Source organism: Homo sapiens, chromosome 2 (assembly GCF_000001405.40).
Source record: "Homo sapiens chromosome 2, GRCh38.p14 Primary Assembly".
Lineage (NCBI taxonomy): Eukaryota > Metazoa > Chordata > Mammalia > Primates > Hominidae > Homo > Homo sapiens.
This window is the reverse complement of record NC_000002.12, coordinates 186,062,874-186,087,148: the sequence shown is the minus strand read 5'-3', so window position 1 is coordinate 186,087,148 and position 24,275 is coordinate 186,062,874. Positions and strand designations below refer to the sequence as shown.

At 34.8% G+C, this 24,275-nt stretch overlaps 1 long non-coding RNA gene across 1 annotated transcript in view; it reads left to right on the top strand.

The window, feature by feature from the left end:
- The first annotated feature begins 831 nt into the window (after positions 1 to 831).
- LINC01473 (long intergenic non-protein coding RNA 1473) overlaps positions 832 to 24,275 on the top strand; it is a 52,787-nt gene continuing 29,343 nt past the window's right edge. Inside the window, exons 1-3 of the long non-coding RNA NR_110218.1 lie at positions 832 to 848; positions 3,928 to 3,995; positions 5,733 to 5,819. This is a non-coding gene — a long non-coding RNA (long intergenic non-protein coding RNA 1473). The remainder of the gene's footprint in view (positions 849 to 3,927; positions 3,996 to 5,732; positions 5,820 to 24,275) is intronic.

Here is a 24,275-nt window from a genome sequence, read left to right as displayed (position 1 = left end):
TTAAGTTTTACATTTAAATCTTTAATCCATCTTGAGTTAAATTTTGTATAAGGTGTAAGGAAGGCGTCCAGTTTCAGCTTTCGGTATATGGCTAGACAGTTTTCCCTACACCATTTATTAAATAGAGAATCCTTTCCCCATTGCTTGTTTTTGTCAGGTTTGTCAAAGATCAGATGGCTGTAGATGTGTGGTGTTATTTCTGGGGCCTCCGTTCTCTTCCAGTGGTCTATATATCTGCTTTGTTACTAGTACTGTGCTGTTTTGGTTACTGTAGCCTTGTAGTATAGTTTGAAGTCAGGCAGTGTGATGCCTCCAGCTTTGTTCTTTTTGCTTAGGATTGTCTTGGCTATATGGGCTCATTTTTGGTTCCCTATAAAATTTAAAGTAGGAAATTTGAAAAAGTTAACATGATAAAACTGTGATAAAACCGTGACATTAGTATGTAGTCAGAATAACCAAATGCACGTTTGAAGACTGTTACAAATATTGTAAACCAAACTAATTTTGTAAATAATTTAAATATGTTCACTATGAAGATTATCTCAATGACTAATTATATTATTGAAATCTAGCAAAATTATATTGGATGTCAACTATATTACTAATTAAGATGGGGTTTCAAGATTAAAATGATAATAACCTGTGAGTCTAGATTTGAAGAATAAAAAGTATAATAGATTTTTAAATGAAACTTTTTTGTCATGCCCAAGTTACAGATTGACAATTACTGCTCAAATAGTTAACTAAAATCATGTGTTTCTTGCATTTCACTTACTAGCACAGTTTTTAAAGTATCTAGTGTATATAAGGACAAGCCATTCTCAGTCAAGCATGAAACTGAATCTGAGGTAAGTTTCATAGAATTTGAAATAATGGTTATTATTCACATAAATAGCAATGTTATTTTTATGTCCATTGTTGTAAAAATTTCTGTTAAAACTTTTTATAAACATTTTTTCTCATCTAATATTCATAGAACGTGTGTGGGATGGGAGATACAATTTCCTTTAACAGATGACAAAGAAGATTTAAATAGGTCTTATCATTTATCCCAAATTATATAAATTGCTGGAGCCGGGATATGAATACATGTTGGCTTGACTTCAATAACCGTGTTTTTTCATTTATGCCAGTATGCTCCCTACATGTTAATAGTTAGTTTTGAAGAGGGGTCAGGAAACTATGGCCTATGGGTCAAACCTGGCACACCATTTGTTTTGTAAATGGAGTTTATTGTTACACAGTCACACTCATCCTTTTATGAATTGTTTATGGCTGTTCTTGAGCTACAGTGGTAGAGTTGAATAGTTGTGAAAGGGATCATATGGCTCACAATGCCAACAATGTTTACTATTTGGCTCTTTATGGAAAAAGTTTGCTAACTCCTGGTTTAGAATAATTAGTTACTTAAGTTTATGAATTCATTACAAAGTTAATATATGTCATTAAGTGGAAATGGAACTGAATCACATTTTCTTCATTATTCCCTGGGGCATGAAATTCTCAAGAAGTTATTTTGGGGAGAGAAAAATCCATGTGTACCTTACTAGAGATTTATGCATAGAGAGCTGTGCCCTAGATAATTGGGCAGCAGTTCCCCTTTTAAAAGGGGAGGTGTTCTGGAATAATCCAGAGGAGGGGAAGGACTAAAGAAACTTGCAACTGTGCTGGCCTGAAGAATTAAACTTGGAGAATTTGTGTGCCAAATGATGTCAAACAAAGTCACTGTGCACTTGGCCAGCTGAGGAGGAAGTGTTGACAAACAGCAGGCAGATATAAGTTTAGCCACTTGATAATCTTGGATATAAACAGTAATGATTTTGAGTTTGATATTGAGTCAGAGTGCATCTGCTTGTTTTGAATAGAGAAATGTTTCAGTAAAAAATACGTACTGATGGTTTTTAAAATATTCTCATCATGAAGCTAACTTAAAAAATAGTCTTTCAGTGGTTTCCTAGAAACTGTATTATTTTGTCAGAGAAAAAAAAAACTCTGAGACAGTTCTAAAAATATATTTGATCGCCTAAATATTCCTCAGATAGTGTGTGTCTTACTTGAACCACACAAAATCTGTGCTAACCTTGAATTTTTATCAGCTTAGAAACTTTAATATGAAAAGCTTAAGTACTCTCCCTTCTCCTCCCCAGAGTAATGGGAAAATTAAAGAGATAACATGAACCCCACCATTTTATCCTATAGTATGGGAACTTAACCCCAAATTAATTAAAATGGCACATCAAATCAGGAAGTAATTATATGACATGTCTCAATTATGTTCTTCCTAGATCTCTACCATATAAAAATTAAATAAAGATATTGGGATCTAATGACTTAGACCTCTAAAAGAAAGGGCAGAGTTTCAAAACCTTAAAATAACACAAATATTTAATTCTAACAGTTTTCATTCTTCTTTCTTGGCATATTGTCAGTGAATCACGATGTCATTACCAATTTCTTTTTCAAATATTTATTCACTCATTCACTCCCTCAATTATAGGTAAGAGATCTAAGAAAGATAGGGACTAAGTAAGTAGTAAGGTTATAAATTAAACATTACTGAAGAGTTTATAACCCTTTCCCATTTATAGAAGGATACAAGGTCTCTATCCTTCTTAGAAGACATTTTTTTAATGCTGCTGAAAAAGACTAGATTTCTATATATAGTAAAGAGGTAGCGAGATAATTGAGTAAGAAATGAAGAGGATAGTTGATTAGGTGGAGGTACAATTCAGATTGTTTTAGGCAGAGAAAAGTGAAAAAGGGATTAGAGCCATCACACTGTTGAATGAATCTTTAGGGGAGGAGTTGCAATAAGCAGATTTCTTTTGATAAGTTTTGCTATGTATTGATAGTGTTACTCTCAGTACTCAGTAATGCTTCTTGGTCAGAATTTTTATTTAATTGTACCACCATAGAGTGATGTGCCTTTGAGCAACAACAAGTATTGAATTATAATCTATGTAGATATATGCTAAGAAGAATAAATACAGAGTACTATGACAGCATAATTTAATTAATTATTAAGGTATCATTGAGGAAACAAAATATGAGACTTGAATAGGAATTATCCAATTATTCAAGAAAGGTTGGGGTGGGCAGAACATATTTTTGGTGTCTTTGGTAGGAGCAGTTTTGATATAATGGCAAAGGTAGAAGCCAGATGGAGAGTCAGTTCAGATTCAACATGGGCTTAGGAGATAAAGTAGCATATATAAAGATTCTTCCCAATAAATTTGACTTGAAATGAAAAAGAAAATATTATAGCATATGGAAAGTAATTTGGGATTCAAGGAGAGATTTATTTTTCTTTAATATGGGAGATGCCAGAGAATGTTTGAATACTCACGTACAACAATGTGTAGAAAGGGAAGATATAGTCAATGGATGTGACTAAAAAATGAGTAAGATAGGATCCCAAATACAATAAGAGTGCTAGGATTATAGAAGAAGGGAAACCAAACTCTGACATCCATTATAACAAGAGTGAATAAAGAGAGTATTGGTGACTGTTCAGGTTAAGTTTACAGTTTGGTGATGAGATGAGTTGAGTTCTTATCTGATGGCTTCAAGATTTTACAAAATAGTAATTGAGGTCATCAGCTAAAAAGTGTGATGAAAAGATGAAGGGAGTGAGAGGTTTGATTAGTGTGGAAAATGCATTAAAAAGTCATTGATATAAATATTTTAGCACCATATGAAAATAGAGTAAGATTGATGGACATTGTTGACTACTCAATTAATACTGTTAGGAATATATAATGCCAATCTATGTGATTTTATCTAACAACCCTCAATTGGCAGGATGTAAGCTCAAAGGAAATTAGTAGGGTCTTGACCAACATGCGAGAAGGGATGGAGAGAGGGACATAGAAATTAAAGACATTGATAACAAAATGATTTTAATGATTGTCTCTGGAACTTAAGCAGGAAAAGAAGAAAGCTGAAAACACACTGAGGATTATGGGAGAGGGGCAAGTGCATGAAGCTTCTCAATGGTAAGTGTTATAATTGAGAAGTTTGATTAAGTGTGCTGGAAAAATAGAAAAGAGTGAGTCAGAGAAGGGGATGTGGAATCGATGATTTGTTAATGATGGTGCAGTTTTTGGTCACATTGTGAAAAATGGAGAAAGAAATAAACATCATTAAAGCTGAGGTTCTGAGCACTAAAAACATTTTATAATAAAAGCTGAAGAGGAGCATAGGTAACTGACTTTCTGCTGTGAAGACATCTAGGCTCTTTTATTTTTAATTTCCCCCACTGATTCGTTCTCTGTAACAGTCTCATAAAATACACATCTCACTTTGTAATTATTCATAACAATGACTGTGACATTACAGTGCATTGCAAACATGTAATGATACAAATCTTAAGAAAGGCAATGTGGAATGAAAGAAGCTTTGCTCACAGTGACCATTTCTTCACTAGAAAATAGACCAGTCTTCTCTTCTACTCATAAAGTAGATATTAAATGCATTTGTTTATTATTTTGTCTTTTTCTTTAAAACATATAATTTCCTTCCATATTTTAACCCCTCTAGTCTTTAAGTTTTGTTGTTGTTGTTGTTGTTTGTTTTTTGTTTTTTTGAGATGGAGTCTCGCTCTGTTGCCCAGGCTAGAGTGCAGTGGCATGATCGCGACTCACTGCAACCTACACCTCTTGGGTTCAAGCGATTCTCCTGCCTCAGCCTCCTGAGTAGCTGGGATTATAGGCACACCCCACCACACCTGGCTAATTTTTGTATTTTTAGTAGCGATGGGGTTTTGCCATGTTGATCAGGCTGGTCTCGAACTCCTGACCTCATGATCTGCCCTCCTTGGCTTCCCAAAGTGCTGGGATTACAGGTGTGAACCATCACGCCCAGCCATCTTTAAGTTGTTGAATATGACATGCCATATCTGAAATATGATGCCAGCCCAAGAAAGGTAAGCCTCATCTTTGATGAACGTAGAAAACTGAAAATGCTTCCTGCATTATTTGAAACATAAGTATTTTGAAACTAGTTTATATTTTAAATTATTTATTAGGAAATTAATAGAATTAGAAGATTATAAAACCACAGAATTTTAGACCTTGAGCATATGTAGATGTCCTCTTTTCTGTTTTACAGATAAAAACAGAATAAATGGTTTGCATTTACAATTTATCACTGTAATGACTGAAACAGAATTCAACTATTTCTATGCCTCAACTTAGTAATGGTTTTCTATTAGGTAATATTATGGTTATATGAAACATGACTTTCATTTTAGGGCCAACTTTTAACTTCGGATTTTTAAATATTGAAGTAGAAAGTAGATTGATATAGATATTATGTGTTGATATAGATTGCATGTATTATGAATCAAGTGACAGAACTGAAATTAGAATTTATGGCAGATCTCACACCTCCAAGTATTCATAGCCATTTAAATATGAGAAAGGTCTTTTTTGCTGGCCATAGTTTTTTATCTAGTATGTCTGGTATTCTTGATGAATGTGAAGTATTTATTATGTTTCAGAATTAAAATGGGTAAAATATAGTGGCAGACTCAAATGATTGCAATTATGCTAAAGACAAAAATGTCAAAGTATCATTATTCTTTAGTTACCTGCTAATATTACAAGAATTATTCTAAACATCTTTATTTCCATTATATAATTATATATGTAATTATACAATATATTATATTTAACATATGCATATACTTGGCATGTCTTATATATAATTCTCATGATATCTTTCTTTTGCAGACATACAGACACTCTAAAAGCTCAAGAGATCAATTATTCAACTTCAAGAACTGAAATTTGAACACAGATTTTGAGCTTCCAAATCAGGTGCATTTTCTACTATTTTACAAGGATCTCTCTGTCTCTGTCTCTGTCTCTCTCTCTCTCTCTCTCTCTATATATATATATGTGTGTGTGTGTGTGTGTGTGTGTGTGTGTATAAAATGTTGTGTTTATTTTGGTAAAATGGGCAGGACAATGTATTTATTAGGTATAGCCCCATATATATATATCTCCACACATATATATATTTACAAAATATATCTTCATATTTTTTACTAAATATACATACCAAATATTATATCCAAATATATGTTCACATAGTTGGATATGTATAATATTATATATTTTTATATATTTTAACCAAATTATTGTGAGGATAAAGCATATATAAAAACCACAAAAATGAATTTTTTATAGAGAGGCAATAGTAAGTTAAATGTAAAATTTTGATTACAACTTGGAAAGTTACATTTGTGGACATCTGCATCTCACATTTAAAGTCAATTTGGTGGTTATATCTCTAATAATGAAGTTCAAGAATGCAGTCTCTCCATTAGGTATCAGTATGGTTTCTCTCTGTCTCTCTTTTTTTTAAAGCAGCTACACAGGGATATTCATCCAAGCAGAAAGATAATACCAGAGTTCCGAACTGGAGGCTGAATAGCAAAAGGAAGAAAAGCACTTCACATAAAATAGACAGGCATGCTTTCAGGACTAACTAAGCATGGTGAGGAAACAAGAATGATAATAGTATCTGAAAATGTGTTGCCTGTTATCATAATTAGTTTTGAGGTATTACGAAGTAAAAAGATACACAGATTCCAAGATGACTATATGAAAAACCCCATGTCTAAATTAATGGTCACAGTGATACAGTAGGTATTACAAAGAATGTAGACAAAACTACATAATTTTGTATAGCGTTTGTTAAAGCCTGGCTTAAATAAGACAAACTTCTAAATTAACTTTTTTATACTCCTCCATTGTCTATCAAATTAAGCACACTGTTTTGTTAAGGCCTTTCATAACATGTTTCAAACCTATCTCTCTGAATTTTCTCTTTAAACTTTATGAAATCTATCTTGTTAAACTTGTAATTCCTCAAACATATTTAGTGCTTTGTGATTTGTCATTTCCTTTTACCCAAACCACCGTTTCAGCTTTTTGCTTGCTTTGCTCATCATTCAAGGTCCATTTTAAAGTCCAAATCTATCTTATGTATTGAATCTTTCTTGAAGAAAGAAATATTTGGTTTTTAAAAGGAAGAGTATACTCAGCATCTCTAACTGAATATGCTCTCCCTTTTCTTAACCTCTCCAGGACCTGTCTTTTTCATCAGATTGTCAGTGAATATGTAGATTTACAGCAGGAAACTTCACTAAGAAATATAAGTAAATTAGTCCTTTGAGAGTTCATCTTTAAAATCAATGCTAATGGAGCAGTGCAGAGATAGAAGGGCATCCAAAGGAGGAGAAAGAGTTCTCAGTTCTAAAAGATTGGATCATAGTCCTATTGTGTATACTAACATATTGAAACAATAAATGAGACACTCATGCTAAATTAGACTTGAGTACAATAATGAAGAGAAGTTTCAGGCAAACTTCAGCAGTGGCATCCAAAGGGGCTTTAAAGGAAAGGAAGCCTTAGGCTCATCATTTGGGTATTTTAGCAAGCAAGCATATCTTTAGGGTGTTTAGGCATTCTGTGAAGCTAAAGGACATTAGGTAGTATAAAGATTCTAGTGGAAAGTCATCTCAATAGTGAAAATCTTGCTACCAAATGCATACATATGCTTGCATTTTCATCCATTCTCTCTTTCTTCCTCCTGCTGTCCTGCTTTAAGGGAGGAAGTATCCCTTCTCTTATATAAACCTAATCTTAGCACCGTGTTCTGGATCCCATCCTCTTTCCAGGTTCTCATATTGTATTCTACCCACTATTCATTCAATCTCTATATCTCTAAGTGTTTAATTGCAGAAGTCAAAAGATTAAAGGTTATTTTTGAGATCTCAGGTTAGCATCATTCAAATGCCAATTCTGAGATAAGGATTCAGGAGCAAGGAGTTTATTTGAGGGTTTCAAAGTACATTAATAGAAGAGTACAGAAGTGATGCTGGGTAGGGAAAGCAGCTAACAGAAGGTGGCAGTTAAAGTGTACTAACCCTGTGGTCAGTTGGACCTGTATCAGAAATTGGTATGGAACACATGCCTCAGAAGTATACCACTTGGAGGGTGTACTTCCAGTATGACAATGTGAGTTTTGTGGACCCGTTCCCAAGTGAAACTGGTAAAAATTATTTATTAAAAACCCACTCTTTTAAGTCTTTGGGAAATGATCCCAAAGGTATAGAGAAAATAAATATTTACTAATTAAAATCTACTAAAAATTGGTAAGAATGGTGAGAATCTGGTATTTGCATAGAGACTCACTCTCTTCCTCCCTTCTCCCAAATCATCAAGAAAGAAACTACTCCAGACTATTTCAGCCAAAAACACAGGTCTCCTTCTCCTCTCAGCTCCCAGTAAGAGGGCTTTCTTTCTTTTTATATATATATATATATATATATATTTTTTTTTTTTTTTAATTATACTTTAAGTTCTAGGGTACCTGTGCACCACGTGCAGGTTTGTTACATATGTATACATGTGCCATGTTGCTGTCCTGCACCCATTAACTCGTCATTTACATTAGGTATATCTCCTAATGCTATCCCTCCCCACTCCCCCCACCCACAACAGGCCCTGGTGTGTGATGTTCCTCTTCCTTTGTCCAAGTGTTCTCATTGTTCAATTCCCACCTATGAGTGAGAACATGCAGTGTTTGGTTTTTTCTCCTTGCGATAGTTTGCTGAGGATGATGGTTTCCAACTTTATCCATGTCCCTACAAAGGACATGAACTCATCCTTTTTTATGGCTGCATAGTGTTCCATGGCGTATATGTGCCACATTTTCTTAATCCAGTCTATCATTGTTGGACATTTGGGTTGGTTCCAAGTCTTTGCTATTGTGAATAGTGCCACAGTAAACATATGTGTGCATGTGTCTTTATAGCATCATGACTTATAATCCTTTGGGTATATACCCAGTAATGGGATTGCTGGGTCAAGTGGTATTTCTAGTTCTAGAGCCCTGAGGAATCACCACACTGTCTTCCACAATGGTTGAACTAGTGTTGGTGGGACTGTAAGAGGGCTTTCATCTCTGGGGAAGCAGGATGGTTCATCCTTCCCCCAGTTACCTACCCTTGAGCCTAAGTTCTTGATGAGAGTTCCTGAGAGGCAGGAAATCCCTTCTCCTGCCCACCTCCACTCATGGTATAAAGGTTATGCTTTAGGCAGGGAGCTACTGAAAATACTGAAGACTCAGTCTCCATGACTCAGATTCATAAAGTGGTGGCCCCACCATGGAAGAGGCAATCTGACAAGATATGAGGCTGCTGCTGAGTGCCTTCTCAACCCTAATGAAGCACTTAGCTCCTAAAGTGGCGGCTGTCACTCATAGAGAAGTGCACCATTGTCCCTACTCCCAGATCCAGAGACATAGCTCAGATATTTTGCCTGGAGAGAAGCAAAGCATAAAACTAATAACTACTAATCTCTTCCCCAAGGAACTCATTTTATGTGTAACCCAGGCTGAAGAAATTCAAGCCTAAAAGTGCTCTCAGAAACAGTGGAGGTAATTGTGAAAGGCAATTGGAAGGAGTTGGTAGATTCATCAGACATATGTGTTAGACTGCAGGCCAGTTAGTTTGCCTGACAGAACCTAGGAAATAGCAGCTGGAATCCACCTGAGTCACAAAAAATCTTAACCACTGGCCTCCGGAACTACCTCTCAAAGGAGCCCAGATTTGAATATCTTTATCTGTGGAACAGTTTATGTTCCAGGATACTTCACAAAAATAATCTAGACAGTCATTAAACAAATTAATAAGCAAATAGCAGTAATAAGTTCTGAAGAGGGATGGCCAGTACCTAGTGTTGTTATAATTTATTTAAAATGCCCAGTTTTCAACAAAAAAATTTGAGACATAAAAAGAGACAGAAAAGTATGACTCAAACACCAAAAAAAGCAGGCATTTAAAACTACCTGCGAGAGTAACCAGATATCAGATTTTAACACACAAAGATTTCAAAATAATCATTATGAATATGTTCAAAGAAATTTAAAAAATGATAAATAGAAGAAGCTATGAAGACAATGTGGTATAAAATAGAGAATAAAAATAAAGAGATAAAAATGATTTATAGAAAGAACCAAATGGAAATAAAATGCTGGAGCTGAGAGTACAATAACTGAAATGAAAAATTAACTAGTGGTGCTTAATATTTATAACATTGTATCATTGAATTTGGTGACGTAAATTGACAGAAGAAAGAATTGAGCTTGAAGATAGATTGATAGAGATTATGCAAGTTCAAAACACAGAGGAAAGAAATGAAGAAAAATAAACAGATCCTCAGAGAAGGGTTGAATACTATTAAACATACCAATATATGCATATTAAGAATATCAGGAGACAAGGAAAAAATATTCAAAAAAATAATAGCTTAAAACTTCCAAAATTTACTGAACAACAAGAATCCACACATCTAGGAAGTTCAGTGAACTCTGAGCAGGATAAACACAGAGAGCTACAAACAGATATATGACAGTAAAAATGCTAGAAGCCAAAGGCAAGGAGGAAATCTTGAAGGCAGCAAGAGAAAAACAATTTGTCGCTTACAAAGATAGACCATTAAAATTAATAGCTAACTTCTCATCAGAAAAAAATGAAGACCAGCCGAAAGTGGGATAACATATTCAAAGCACTTGGATGAAAAAGACTATCAACCAGGAAGCCTATACTTAGCACAGCTATCTTCCAAAAATTAAGAAAAAATAGACATTTGGAGATAAACCAAAATGGAGAGAATTTGTTGTTATCAGACTCATCTTACAAGAAGTACTAAAGGAAGTTCTTTAGCTTGAAAGTAAGTGACCTCAGATGGTCACTTGAAAAAACAAAAGCATTAGTGAAGATAATTATGCACTTACAAAAGACAGTATAAATGCATATTTTTCTTTTTCATTACTTAGAAAGCAATTGTATAAAACAATATGTATGTATCTATTATTGCGCCTATAATGTACGGAAATGCAATACATTTGATAAAAACAGCAGAAAAATGGTGAATGGGAACGGATTCATTTTGGAGTAATAAATGCTAACAGATGGTAACTGGAATCTACCAGAACAAATGGAGAAATGATAAATAGAAAGGTTGATATAACAAAAGCTATAAATATATACTTGGTCTCCTTTTAGTTTCTTTTAAAGACATAAAGTTATGTAAATTAATATTTATAACATTCTATCATTGGGTTTGTAATATTTATAGATGTAAGATATACAACAAATAATACTATAAGACAGGAGAAGGGAATAGAGCTATGTAGGTGTAACATTTGTATATCTCACTGGAATTAAGTTAGTACACATCTGAAGCTGGTTCAGACACATTAACATGTACTGCTGACCCTTGAACAATGTAGGGGTTAGGGGTGCTGACTCCACATGCAGTAAAAAAATCCCCTATAATTTTTACTCCCTGAAAACTTAACTAATAGCCTACTGTTGACTGGAAGCCTTATTAATAACATAAACAGTACTATATTTTTACAATTAAGTAAACTAGATAAAAGAAAATGTTATTAAGAAAATTATAAGGAAGAAAAATATTACTATTCATTAAGTTGAAGTGGATCATCATAAATGTCTTCATCTTTGACATTTTGACATTGAGTAGGCTAAGGAGAAGGAGGAAGAGGAGGGGTTGTTCTTGCTGTCTCAGGGATGGTAGAGAAGGAAGAGGTGAAAGGGGAGGTAGAAGAGGCAGTCATAAATACTTGTATAAGTGGACTTGTGTAGTTCAAACCCATGTTCAAAATTCAACTGTATATAATAAGCTGTAGAACAATCACTAAAGAAATAAGTCAAAAGTTGTCCTAAAGATGTTATTAAAGAAATTTAATGATCGCACTAGAAAATATTAACAATCAAAATAAAACAATGAAAGCAGCATCGAACAAAAAGACGTGAGATAAATAGAAACAAAAAGTAAAATGAAAGACAAATATTATCCAACCATAATAAGGAATGAAGTGCTGATACATGCTACAACATGGACGAATCTTGAGACATTAATGCTAAGTGAAAGAAGTAAATCACAAAAATGACATATTATATGATTCAATTTATAGGAAATGTCCAGAATAGGCAAATATATAGAGACAGAAAGTAAATTAGTGATTTCTTAGAGCTGGCATGTAGATTGGGAGATTGGAGAATGGCAGCTAACTAGTAGAGAGTTTATTTTTGAGTTGATGAAAATGTCCTAAAATTGACTATAGCGATGGTAACACATCTGTGATTATAACAAAAAATTTCAAATTATAAACTTTAAACTGCATACTTTAAATAGATGATTTATATCTTTCTATATAAAATAGTTGTGTAAATTACACCTCAGTAAAGCTTATAAAAAATAAAAGAATATCTCACCTGAGTGGTGAGGATAATTAGACATTTATAACCACCTCCCAAGAATCATTTATTGAGTTTGCTTCTGGTGGTGGTGATTCCTTTGCATTTCCAGAAAGTGGCCTTCCCCAGTTTCAGAAACATGCCTTAATCACAGAGATGCAGACATTTTAAACTAGAATTTGTCCAGATCACACTGATTGTGGTAAGGTTTGAGATAAGTGGACCCCTGAGAATATCGACTATAGTCTAGCCTTTCTACTGCTCAGATCTATTTACATCTTTTGTTTTTTTCAAATTTTACTTTAAGTTCTGGGATACATGTGCAGAACGTGCAGGTTTGTTACATAGGTATACATGTGCCATGGTGGTTTGCTGCACCTATCAACCCGTCATCTAGGTTTTAAGCCCCACATGCATTATGTATTTGTCCTAATGCTCTCCCTCTCCTTGACCCCCACCCACTGACAGGCCCTGGTGTGTGATGTTCCCCTCCCTGTGTCCATATGTTCTCATTGTTCAGCTCCCACTTATGAGTGAGAACATGCAGTGTTTGGTTTTCTGTTCCTGTGTTAGTTTGCTGAAAATGATGGCTTCCAGCTTCATCCACATCCCTGCAAAGGACATGAACTCATCCTTTTTTATGGATGCATAGTATTCCATGGTGTATATGTGCCACATATTTTTTTATCCAGTCTATCATTGATGGGCATTTGAGTTGGTTCCAAGTCTTTGCTATTGTAAATAGTGCTGCAGTAAACATACGTGTGCATGTGTCTTTATAGTAGAATGATTTATAATCCTTTGGGTATATACCCAGTAATGAGATTGCTGGGTCAAATGGTATTTCTGGTTCTAGATCCTTGAGGAATCACCACACTGTTTTCCACAATGGTTGAACTAATTTACACTCCCACCAACAGTGTAAAAGCATTCTTATTTCTCCATACCCTCGCCAGCATCTATCGTTCCCTGATTTTTTAATGATCACCATTCTAACTGGTGTGAGATGGTATCTCATTATGGTTTTGACTTGCAGTTCTCTAATGATCAGTGATGATGAGCTTTTATTCATATGTTTGTCAGCCACATCAGTATCTTCTTTTGAGAAGTGTCTATTCATATCCTTTTCCCACTTTTTGATGGTTTTTTTTTCTTGTAAATTTGTTTAAGTTCCTTGTAGACTCTAGATATTAGACCTTTGTCGGATGGGTAGCTTGTGAAAATTTTCTACCATGCTGTAGGTTGCCTGTTCAACTCTGATGATAGTTTATTTTGCTATGCAGAAGCTCTTTAGTTTGATTAAATCCCATTTGTCAATTTTGGCTTTTGTTGCAATTGCTTTTGGTGTTTTAGTCATGAAGTTTTTGCCCATGCCTATGTCCTGAATGGTATTACCTAGGTTTTCTTCTAGGGTTATTATGGTTTTAAGTTTTACATTTAAATCTTTAATCCATCTTGAATTAATTTTTGTGTAAGGTGTAAGGAAGGGGTCCAGTTTCTGTTTTCTGCATATTTACATCTTATATTAACTACATCTAATTACTGTTTCTTAAAAGTGGTACCTGGTTACTTTTTTTAAAAAAACAAACATTTAAAATCACAGGGTTGGTGAGAAAAACTACAGTCACCCTGCTGTAATTGGTACTAAGGCTGCAATGGAAATTCATCTTCTTTCTCTAGCACCTGATCTAGAATCCTCTCATGCTTAGATGGCTCGGCTGCTCTAGATTCCCTTCTTTGGTTGGATAACAGAATCCTCATCAGTGAATGTCTAAGCTTGTCATTACCATACTTCTCAGATTGGAGTGTCTGCAAGTAATTGTTTAGAGTTAATACTGGATAAAGAAACAATTTTTTAAAAACCCAAGTCTTATCCACTCTTTTATTAAGCCAGTCTATCACTCCTAAGCTCTAATCCTTAGCTGTTTTCACTGGGGCTTTTTGGCAAATAATTTATTTTTTCTCAAAGCTGGGGCAGCCCTTTCTTTCTCAGCTGGAAAAGACCTAGTTAGATGCTTAGAAGCCATGAAGGATACTTCTTAAGCAGGACAAATATATTCTTGCAAAATGTATTCTAACTAACGCTTCTATATTATTTCCAGGCGAGGGAGGGTGCTATCTTCTAGCAAGAGTATAGTTGGCTAGAACCCCTGGATCAGAGGGTTCCAGGGAATCAGAGAATCAAAGCTCTTAAGTGCATCAACCAGATGTTATAGTAGTTCTTATTAGTGCTTTGATGTCAGCAGAGGAAAGTTGATAGGGTTATTAATTTAAAATTTCTCTGCAATTCTGCTATAGTTACAACCAAATCTTGGCCTAGTTTTCAGACTAATCTACTGTTTCCTTGCTGAAGATGAAGCTTTTTTAAAAAAACACCACCATAGAGGACTTTTGGCTTCCAAACCTGACCCTAGATGGTGGTTGGCTAATTTCAGGCTGTCTGTTTCTTTGTTCAGTGAATCAATTGCACTTAACAGTTACACATTTCTGATAGTATCATTGCCACTATATCCGTCACACAATACGGATATTGGATAAGCTATCACATTTCCACCTGTGTGCCATCCCAATTCATCAAAAACAAGAATCTTATTTACTCTAAAGCTACTATATTCCAGGAATGATTGCAACTCCACTTAAAACAAAACAAAACAAAAAATGGTTCCTTATTGCTATATGGCAGGTGTGATGCTTTTTATGTGTCAATTTTACCAAGCCATGAGGTGCCCAAATATTTGGTTAAACATTATTCTAAGTGTTTCTGTGGAGGTGTTTTTAGATGGTATATAAACATTTAAATTTGTAAACTGAGTAGAATAGATTATCCTCTGTAGTGTGCTTAGGCCTTTTCCAATTAGTTGAGGGCCCGGATAGAACAAAAAGGATAATACTTTCCCAATTAAGACAGAATTCTTCCTGCCTGACTGCCCTTAGAACTGGAATTTTTTTTTTTCTGCCTTTGGACTCTAACTAAAATATCAACTCTCCTTGGGTCTCAAGCCTGCCAGCCTTCAGATGGAAACTACAAAATTGGCTCTCCGGTTTTCAGGTCTTCAGATTCAGACTAGAACTAAATCATTGGCTATCCTGGTTCTCTAACTTACTGACTTATTCTGCATATCCTTGGAACTAGCCTGTTTCCATAATCACATGAACCAATTCCTTATAATAAATCTGTCTCTCTGCCCCATATGTAAAACTTAGGTTGGTCTCTCTCTCTCTGTCTCTCTCTCTCTCTCTCTTCTTTAATTTATATATATATGTGGTTCTGTTTTTCTGGAAACTAATACAGTGGGTGAGTAATCCAATCTCAGAATCTTACCCAGAGGATAAGCTTTCTATGGTCACCTCTGGTATGTTGGATTCCTCCAAAAGTATCTGTAAAATAAAGAGGTCATTTCAGATGATGTCCAACTTATTTTATTGTTTTCATTTTACCATTTATGACTTTTTAGGATATCTAGAATATACCATTCCATCTGGAACAAGTCTGGTTTGACATAATAGGATTGCTCTGTTAATAAAGGAAGAAGCAGTTAATCCACGAAAGAAAATCTAAGGTTTATTGGTAACTGACAATTTGAACCAAGCTGGTTTAAGGTCCAAAGTTGAGCTAAGCTTGAGGAGAGATTCAGGGTCTGAGGAATGTTACCTAGAAATTAGGGAACAGCAACAGGAGATAATTTCTAATAATGTAATTTTGTTTGTATTCCCAAGAGACATTTCTTTAATATGAGCACATGCTTTGTTCATATGTTTTAAAGTTATTGTTTATTTTGCCAGTACATTTGATTACCCATATTACATATGGGTTGATGTAAAAGTAGTATTCTTTGTTAAATTCAGAAAACATAAAACAAAAGTAACTCCACTTTAAAAAAATGCCTGCAATATTTTCTTGTTATTAAAAATATACTTATAGTTCTATACCCTAAACTCCTGCTCAGTGTAGCAATCTTGTCTACAAATAATCTTTCCACTTTTTAAAAAATTCTCAGTGATGGAAGATTGACTACCATATAAGCAGCTTGCTTTATTAGTAACTCTTTTGAGTTGAAGTTTTTATTTTATACAGCTTCAAAATCTTCCTATTTTTAACTTTTACTTGGTGGTTAGAGTTATATCCTTTGGAGCTACTGCCCCTATCTCTAGTTGTCTATTAAAATGTTTCCAACTCATAAGATAAGTGGATTGTTGAGCATCACCTTCACTATCTACATCACTCCTCTCTTTGCACTTTAGCACTCTACCCTATGTGATCTGATAAAAACAGAACAAGGGTAATGTTATTTTTCTTTCTCTAGATTCCATGTTTATATTGTTGTGGTTGTGTAAACTTTAGAATAGATTCTAAAGGTTATTTGTATCCTTATTTCCACATACCTAAATTTGGGGTAATGTTTTGTACTTAGGATTAACTTTCAATTATCTCTGTAGCAAATTTTAGATGGAAGTTGCTAGCCTCCTGCCAAGGAAGAGGTGGTGCCTGTACTACTTTCCCCTCCGTCAGTTGTTATGTGCTTTGAAACAGAAAATTATGCTTATAGTAGCCTTCACAGTGGATATGAATGTTCACTTAATACATGTGGCTATTTGATAGATATATTTCATGAAATTCAAAGTAAAATATGATTGATATTGAAATGTTTTGCTAATTTAAGACATCAGTGAATGTGTTCTTTTATTTCTCCATTGGAACATGTAAATCAACTATTAAATTTACAATGCAGGTCTCTTTTTTCAGTGCTTAAATTGTAATTTGTAAGATATGTGCAGAAGAAATAATAACATCCTCCAGCATCATATGTTTTAAAAGAAATGCTGTAACTGGCAACAAATCTCTCCGGACACATGATGTATAGCATATCCATCCGTATGTGTCCTTAGTTTGTCTTGGTCAACTGGTTCCTCACATGTGGCTAACTTGTAGATCAGCAGGCAATGTGCAATGTCAGGCTATTGTGCTGAGGTTCCTTTCTGTTTAGAAAGAAGTAACCTGCTTGTGTTCCTTCAAAGTCCTGAACAGTCTGATTTCAGCATTTTGGCTTTCTTTTTATGTGAGGTGAAATAGCAAGCTGTGTTTAAGTCACAGATGTGAATGCTGAATAGTTAAGGGCACTGTTGTTAGGAAAAAAACAACTCAAAAAAATAAAAAAGAAACAATTTCTTCTTCAGTTGAATGGGAGTATCGATTTTAGAGGACTTAAAAGCTATATTTTATGGTCTGTTACCAAAATAGCATTTGCTAAACTTAGGGATAAAACCACCCTTTTGTGTTTTTTAGGGATAAAACATTAAAAGAGTAATACAAATTTAAGTTGTAGAAACCCATTCAGACTTCTAAAGTGAGATCTCTTAAGAGAAATTATTTATAATGAAGAATGGGATCATTCTTTAAAATCTATATATAACTATCAAATCTCTAGTAATTTAACATATGATGCTGAAAAGCCAGTTGTTAGTTTTCTCACATTAAATGAAAAATGAAAACTTAAAAGTACCAATATAGTTTCAAAGAAATATCTATGTTATTCCAGGTTAAAAGCACAAAAAAAGGCAAAATGAAAACAATTCTTTATAGCTTAAAGATTTAAATACTTAACTTGACCATCTTATTCATTACATAAAAATAAAGTTAAAATAGGGTATCAAGTTGCAGATAAAAATATGAAATTTCAACTATAGATGTGCTGACATTTATGATGAAGTTCAGATATTTCTGCAAATGCATGAGGATTTTAAAAGAGCTGAATGTTCTGGTTAATTAGCTTAGTGATCTGTTCAAATTTGCGGTGGTCTTGACTGGTGTTAAATAAACTTCCCATAAAATGAAATATGATGCATGTGAAAAATCAAAGATTTACTCAGATTTACCCATTTACCCACTTTCATCTTTACCCTTCATCTTACCGACTAGCACAATAAAGCAGAAAAGGGAATGACTTTATAAAAAACTGTCTTTTAATCAACTGTCTTTTAAAAGGTTAATAGATCCAATTCACACATGAATTCCTGTGTCTTTGTTCTGCTATATTACCCCTTAATATGGGACTCTGAGCTTGACCACATGACTTACTTTGGCAAATGGGACACCAGTAAATGTGATACAAGCACAGGCTTTACAAATGCTTACACATTGAAGCTTAATCTCTTGAAAAGCTGCCACTTTGTGAGAAAGTCCAGGCCAGTCTGCCAGAGACACATGGCCCACCTGACAGCCAGCTGCAGCCTCCAGACATGAGGGTATCTCAGGCCATCCATGTGCAGTTGATCCACCATATCATTGCAGTTACATAAGTGACCCTGACACAGACAGCAGAAAACCACACAGTTGACCACAAAATAAATTGCTAACCCAGAGTTATATATTACTAAAATGTAGTTGTTTACACCGCTACATTTTTGGGATAGCAATAGAAAACTGACAAAAACAGCTGCCTAAACTCACCTTTTGGGCCAAATTAGTAAAAGGGCGAACCACAGAATTTGTGCCTACATTGCACAGAGTGGATACCAGAGGTAGATGAGTTAACCTCAGGAAGCAAAGACAGTCTCAAACATCAATTATCCAGGGGTGAGCAGAGAAAACAAGCCAGGCATAAAACCAAACACGTAAATTCACTCAAGGAAAAAGGAGAAAAAGAGTTTGTGCAGAAAAAGGTTAATGATGCCCCTGAGGTGAGGAATAAAGTAAGAGAGGAGTCTTTTCTGGAACACCAGGGTTTTAACTATGGCTTGTTGCTTTTTTTTTTTTTTTTTTGCCTTGGTAATCCGATTACAGGGTTAAAACCTAGAAACATGTATTAATTTTTGATAGGTAATATGTAATTCTCATTTATTTTTAAATCTTTTTAACTAAATGGATTTCAAATGTACAAAAACATAATAAATGTGAACCTACCATGTTAATATTTTGACATTATCTTTATAACAATCTCTATTGTTTTTTGACATAATAAAATATCATACATGCAGTTACCTTTAGTATCTCCTCTCTCTATTAGTCACATGAGTGACTGATAAATATATTTATTCACAATATTCAAAATAGCTAACACTATTTTGCTAAGGGTGATTTGGTGTCCTCTGCTGCATCGTGGGGAAGTCAGGGAGCTCCTGAAAGGGATGGGAAGACTAGGAAGAAAAATTTTAAGGGGGGTTAAGAGTCATTATTATTAATTATAACTGGTACTGAATTATTTTTAAATATGACTATGACTTTCCTAGTATATACTAATTTGGGATCATATAAATATCTTTTCCCAGTTTGTGGATGCCTTTTTACTGTGTTAGTGATGTATTTGATACATTTATTTTGATGTTGGTGTATAGAAGCTTTTGTATTTAATGCCATCACATGAATCCATCTTTTTCTTAATGATCAGTGCCTTTTGTATCTTGGTAAAGAAATCTTTTGTGAACAAAATATTTTCTTTTTTTTAAATTTTGTTAAATTTTTTTATTTTATTATTATTATACTTTAAGTTTTAGGGTACATGTGCACAATGTGCAAGTTTGTTACATATGTATACATGTGCCATGTTGGTGTACTGCACCCATTAACTCGTCATTTAGCATTAGGTATATCTCATAATGCTATCCCTCCCCCCTCCCCCCACCCCACAACAGTCCCCGGAGTGTGATATTCCCCTTCCTGTGTCCATGTGTTCTCATTGTTCAATTCCCACCTATGAGTGAGAACATGCGGTGTTTGGTTTTTTTGTCCTTGAGTTCATGTCCTATGTAGGGACATGGATGAAACAAAATATTTTCTTAAAAATTGTTCACAGCTGGGTGCGGTGGCTCACGCCTGTAATCCCAGCACTTTGGGAGGCCGAGGCGGGCAGATCACGAGGTCAGGAGATCGAGACCATCCTGGTTAACACAGTGAAACCCCGTCTCTACTAGAAATATAAAATATTAGCCGGGCATGGTGGTGGGCGCCTGAAGTCTCAGCTACTCGGGAGGCTGAGGCAGGAGAATGGTGTGAACCCGGGAGGCGGAGCTTGCAGTGAGCTGAGATCACGCCACTGCACTCCAGCCTGGGCAACAGAGTGAGACTCTATCTCTAAAAAAAAAAAAAAAAAAAAAATCACCAAAATATTTTCTAATATTTTCTTCTAAAATGGGCTTTTCATTTTTGCATCTTTAATTGACATAAAATTTATTTTTCTTTATGGCATTAGGTAGAGATTTAATTTTATCCTGTATCATAGAGATATGCTGATTCTGCCACTTATTAGCAGTGTGTCCTTGTCCAAGTTACCTACCTTCTGTGTACAATAGTTTCTTCATCGATGAGATGGGATTAATAATAGTCTTTACCTCGTATATCATTTAGAAGATTAAATAAAATAATAGTGTAAACTACAATGCCTGCTACATAATGATCACCCTATACTTATTCGTTAATAGACCTAACGACTTATTCAGCACCATTTATTGAATAGCCCCTACTTCACCTGTTGAGTGCCTCATGTACACATATATGGATTAATTTCTAGGTTCTCTATTCTGTTTCTTGATATATTAATTCTTTGCAACAATACTCAAATTTCAATTATTGTAATTTAACAGCAATTCTTATCTGATGGAGTGAGTCCCTCCTAAGGGTTACTTAAAAACGTTTGGGCTTTTTACTCATATGTATGAAATTTATGTGAAAGTTAATTTCTGTTAAATCAGTGTTGGAATTTTGATCAGAGTTGCATTGAATTTATAAGTTATTTGGGCTAAAACTGTCGTCTTGATGATATTGATTATTCTGCTCAATAAAATAGTATATCACTTCATTGATTTAGGTTGTATTTTATTTATTATTATAAAACCTATCTATATTAATTACAAGGAGGACATGGTTTCTTTGAATCCTGGTGTAGGCTGCTCATTTCCCACACTCCAGAAACCAAGGAGCTTGGAGACAAAATTGCTACAGTTAAGAGTTGTTGGCATATCTCCTCCCTGACTGAAATTCTTGCATAGTGTACCCATTACCCACAAGATAAAATTTTCAAACTCTTGAATGTGATACAACACCTTCCATGACTTCCTAGTTTATTTCTCTAGTCCAGGTGTCTTCACTAAATGTCCAGACTTGTATATCCATCTAATTGTTTACCATTTCCACTGAATGTCTAACAGATATTGAAAGCTGACTCATTTCTTGACACATAGTCTCCCCACTGACCCTGGAATCTCATTAAATGGCATCATCATTCACTCAGTAGTTCAAGCTTGAAAACTTCAAGTTATTCTAGACTCCTATCTTCCTCTTGCTTTCACATTTCAGATCAGTTCATCAGCCTGATATTACTTTCTTCAAAATATATCTGAATTCTAACCTTTTCTGCCTACCCCTATACCCCCAACTGGCTACCATGTTAAACCAAGCCATCATTGTTTTTTGCCTGGGTTAATGAAGAAACTTTGAAACATATGTTCATTCTCCTCATTTTTTTTCTCCCTTCTGATCAACTATCCACATAACAGGCTAGGCACTCTTAAAATACAAATCAGATCATGCCATTTACACGCTCAGAACCCTCCCATATCTTCCTATCGTACTTGGGTGAAAAAAACTCTGGTCATGTCGAAGGAAGCCTTCAAGTTCTGGCCTGTCCTCCTCTCAGGTTTCATCTCCTATCACTCTCTCTTTAACAGTCTTCCCTGGATATGCTTGTCCCCTTGCTGTTTCCTAATCAGACAAACAGATTCCTCCCTCAGGACCTTTGCACTGCCTATTCTCTCTGCCTAGAATGCTTTCAGAAACAGTTATTAGACAATGTGGACAAAGTAATAAATATTAGCAACCTTTGGAAAATGCTATGTAACAACTATGAGATCATTGACAGGGAAAGGACAATCTAACTTTAACAATTAAGATAAAATCTTTAAATGAAAGATTATTAGGTGTGAATTTATGAAATATATTTATGTTTCAAACATTTTAAAAACTATAAATTTTGAAGAACTGGGAAATTTATTTCTCACTGTATTAGTCAATTCTCACATTGCTAGTGGTTTAATTGGCTCACCATTCTATAGACTGTATAGGAAACATAGCTAGGGAGGCCTCAGGAAACTTACAATCATGGCAGGAGGTGAAAGTGAAGCCAGTACATCCTACATGGCTGGAGCAGGAGGAAGTGAGAGTGATGGGGGAAGTGCTACACACTTCCAAACAACAAGGTCTCGTGAGAACTGTATCACGAGACAGCACTAGGGGCATGGTGCTAAACCATTAGAAACCACCCCCATGATCCAATCACCTCCCACCAGGCCCGACCTCCAACACTGGGGATCACAGTTCAACATGAGATTTGGGTGGGGATGTGGAGCCAAACCATATCAGTAACACTTTGGTCACATCACATCAATGAGTAAATAGGTCCTGGGCTAATCTCAATTGGCCTTTTAAAATTCATCTCATCTATATTTGTGAAACAATCAGATAAAATATTTAAAAACCTTAAAAAGAAAAAATATCTTTGGAAGTACAGTTATTTCATAAAATGTGAAAACACAGAAGTATAAAAGATCATCTAATTGTTATTTTCTTCCTCCACAGAAGTATAAAAGATCATCTAATTCTTATTTTCTTCCTCATTGTTTAAATATTGTTTTTCCTGGGAACCTTACTGCCTATGATAGTGTTAATTGGTTGTCCTGGACTGTGTCTTAGCTTCCCATCTTCCCAATTTTCATATACTTAGTAGAATGTGGATCGTTCTCAAAGCGTTATCCATTTGAGTAATGAATATAAAACAACTTCCGTAGAAAGAGGCTGTATTTAGGCTTAAGATATTTTATAACATGACACCCTACCCCCAGCCCACCTCCATAGCACTTTGTTACTAGAGCATGATTAGGACTTCCCTGCTTCTTTCTTCACTGTCAATGTTTGGGGTGTGTGTGTATGTGCATGTGTGTGAATAGTGTGAGTGTATGCATGCACATGTGTGTCTCTATTGAGGAATACAGGGATGCTGGTAGCAGGGGAAGAGGATCTAATTTTCTTTGGTTTATTATTTTTTTCTTAACAGCCAGTTAGAGCAGTGGAGTAGTAATTACAGTTGCCACAACTTTTAACAAATTTTTAGGAAGTGATATTTAATAAATAAGAATCTTCTGGCTGGTTAATGTTTACGCGTACAAAGATATCTTTGCTTCATGATATGTTTTGGGTCTAAAAACACAGTTATTTTATGACACCTATGTATTTGTATTGCGTTTGCTTCTCTTTTCTGATGGAAGAAATCAATAATAATCAATAGAGAGAAAGGGCTCTCTAGACCAAAAGTCTGCCAAAATTGAAAACTGAAGTGTTGTCAGTTGACCTGGGGAAGGACTGAATCCTCTTTGTAGAAAAATACCAGAAACACAAGTGAATGTGCATTGTTCTTAGTCCAACCTAAGAATGCATTCATCTGGGTTGGTTGTATTAACTAACACAACTTTATTATTAGTTGTTAATGTTAGTTAATACAACTAACCCAGATGAATGCATTCTTAGGTTGGTTTTACGACATTCACATAAGAAAAGGTACATGAAAAACTATAATCTTCAAAATGCATTGAGGTCACTGAGCTTTGTAGCTCCCGCTTCTTGGTCATTCCAGTTAAAAATGTTATGTTTGAGATGTAAACTTTAACAGGATGATCTATGCTAACTCCATTCCCCTCCTCCTATGTACTTACTTGCCATGGGTAGCATTTCGTCTCAGAATGGATGCAGAAAACGTAGAAAAAAGTAATTATAGAGGAAGTAGGTAACCCATTCCCAAGTTGCTTGAAAGAAATAAGAGATGGCCAGTTTTAATGTTTACAGATTTTTCATTTATCTGTCCAGGAAAAGCTGGAGTACTCAATAAAATATATTTCTAATGTTAATTTTGGCTAACAATTTTACTCATTTTCTGGCAAAAATAATGATTAATTCTCTGTCCGATTTATCATATTATGGTGTAAATTTCTCTCA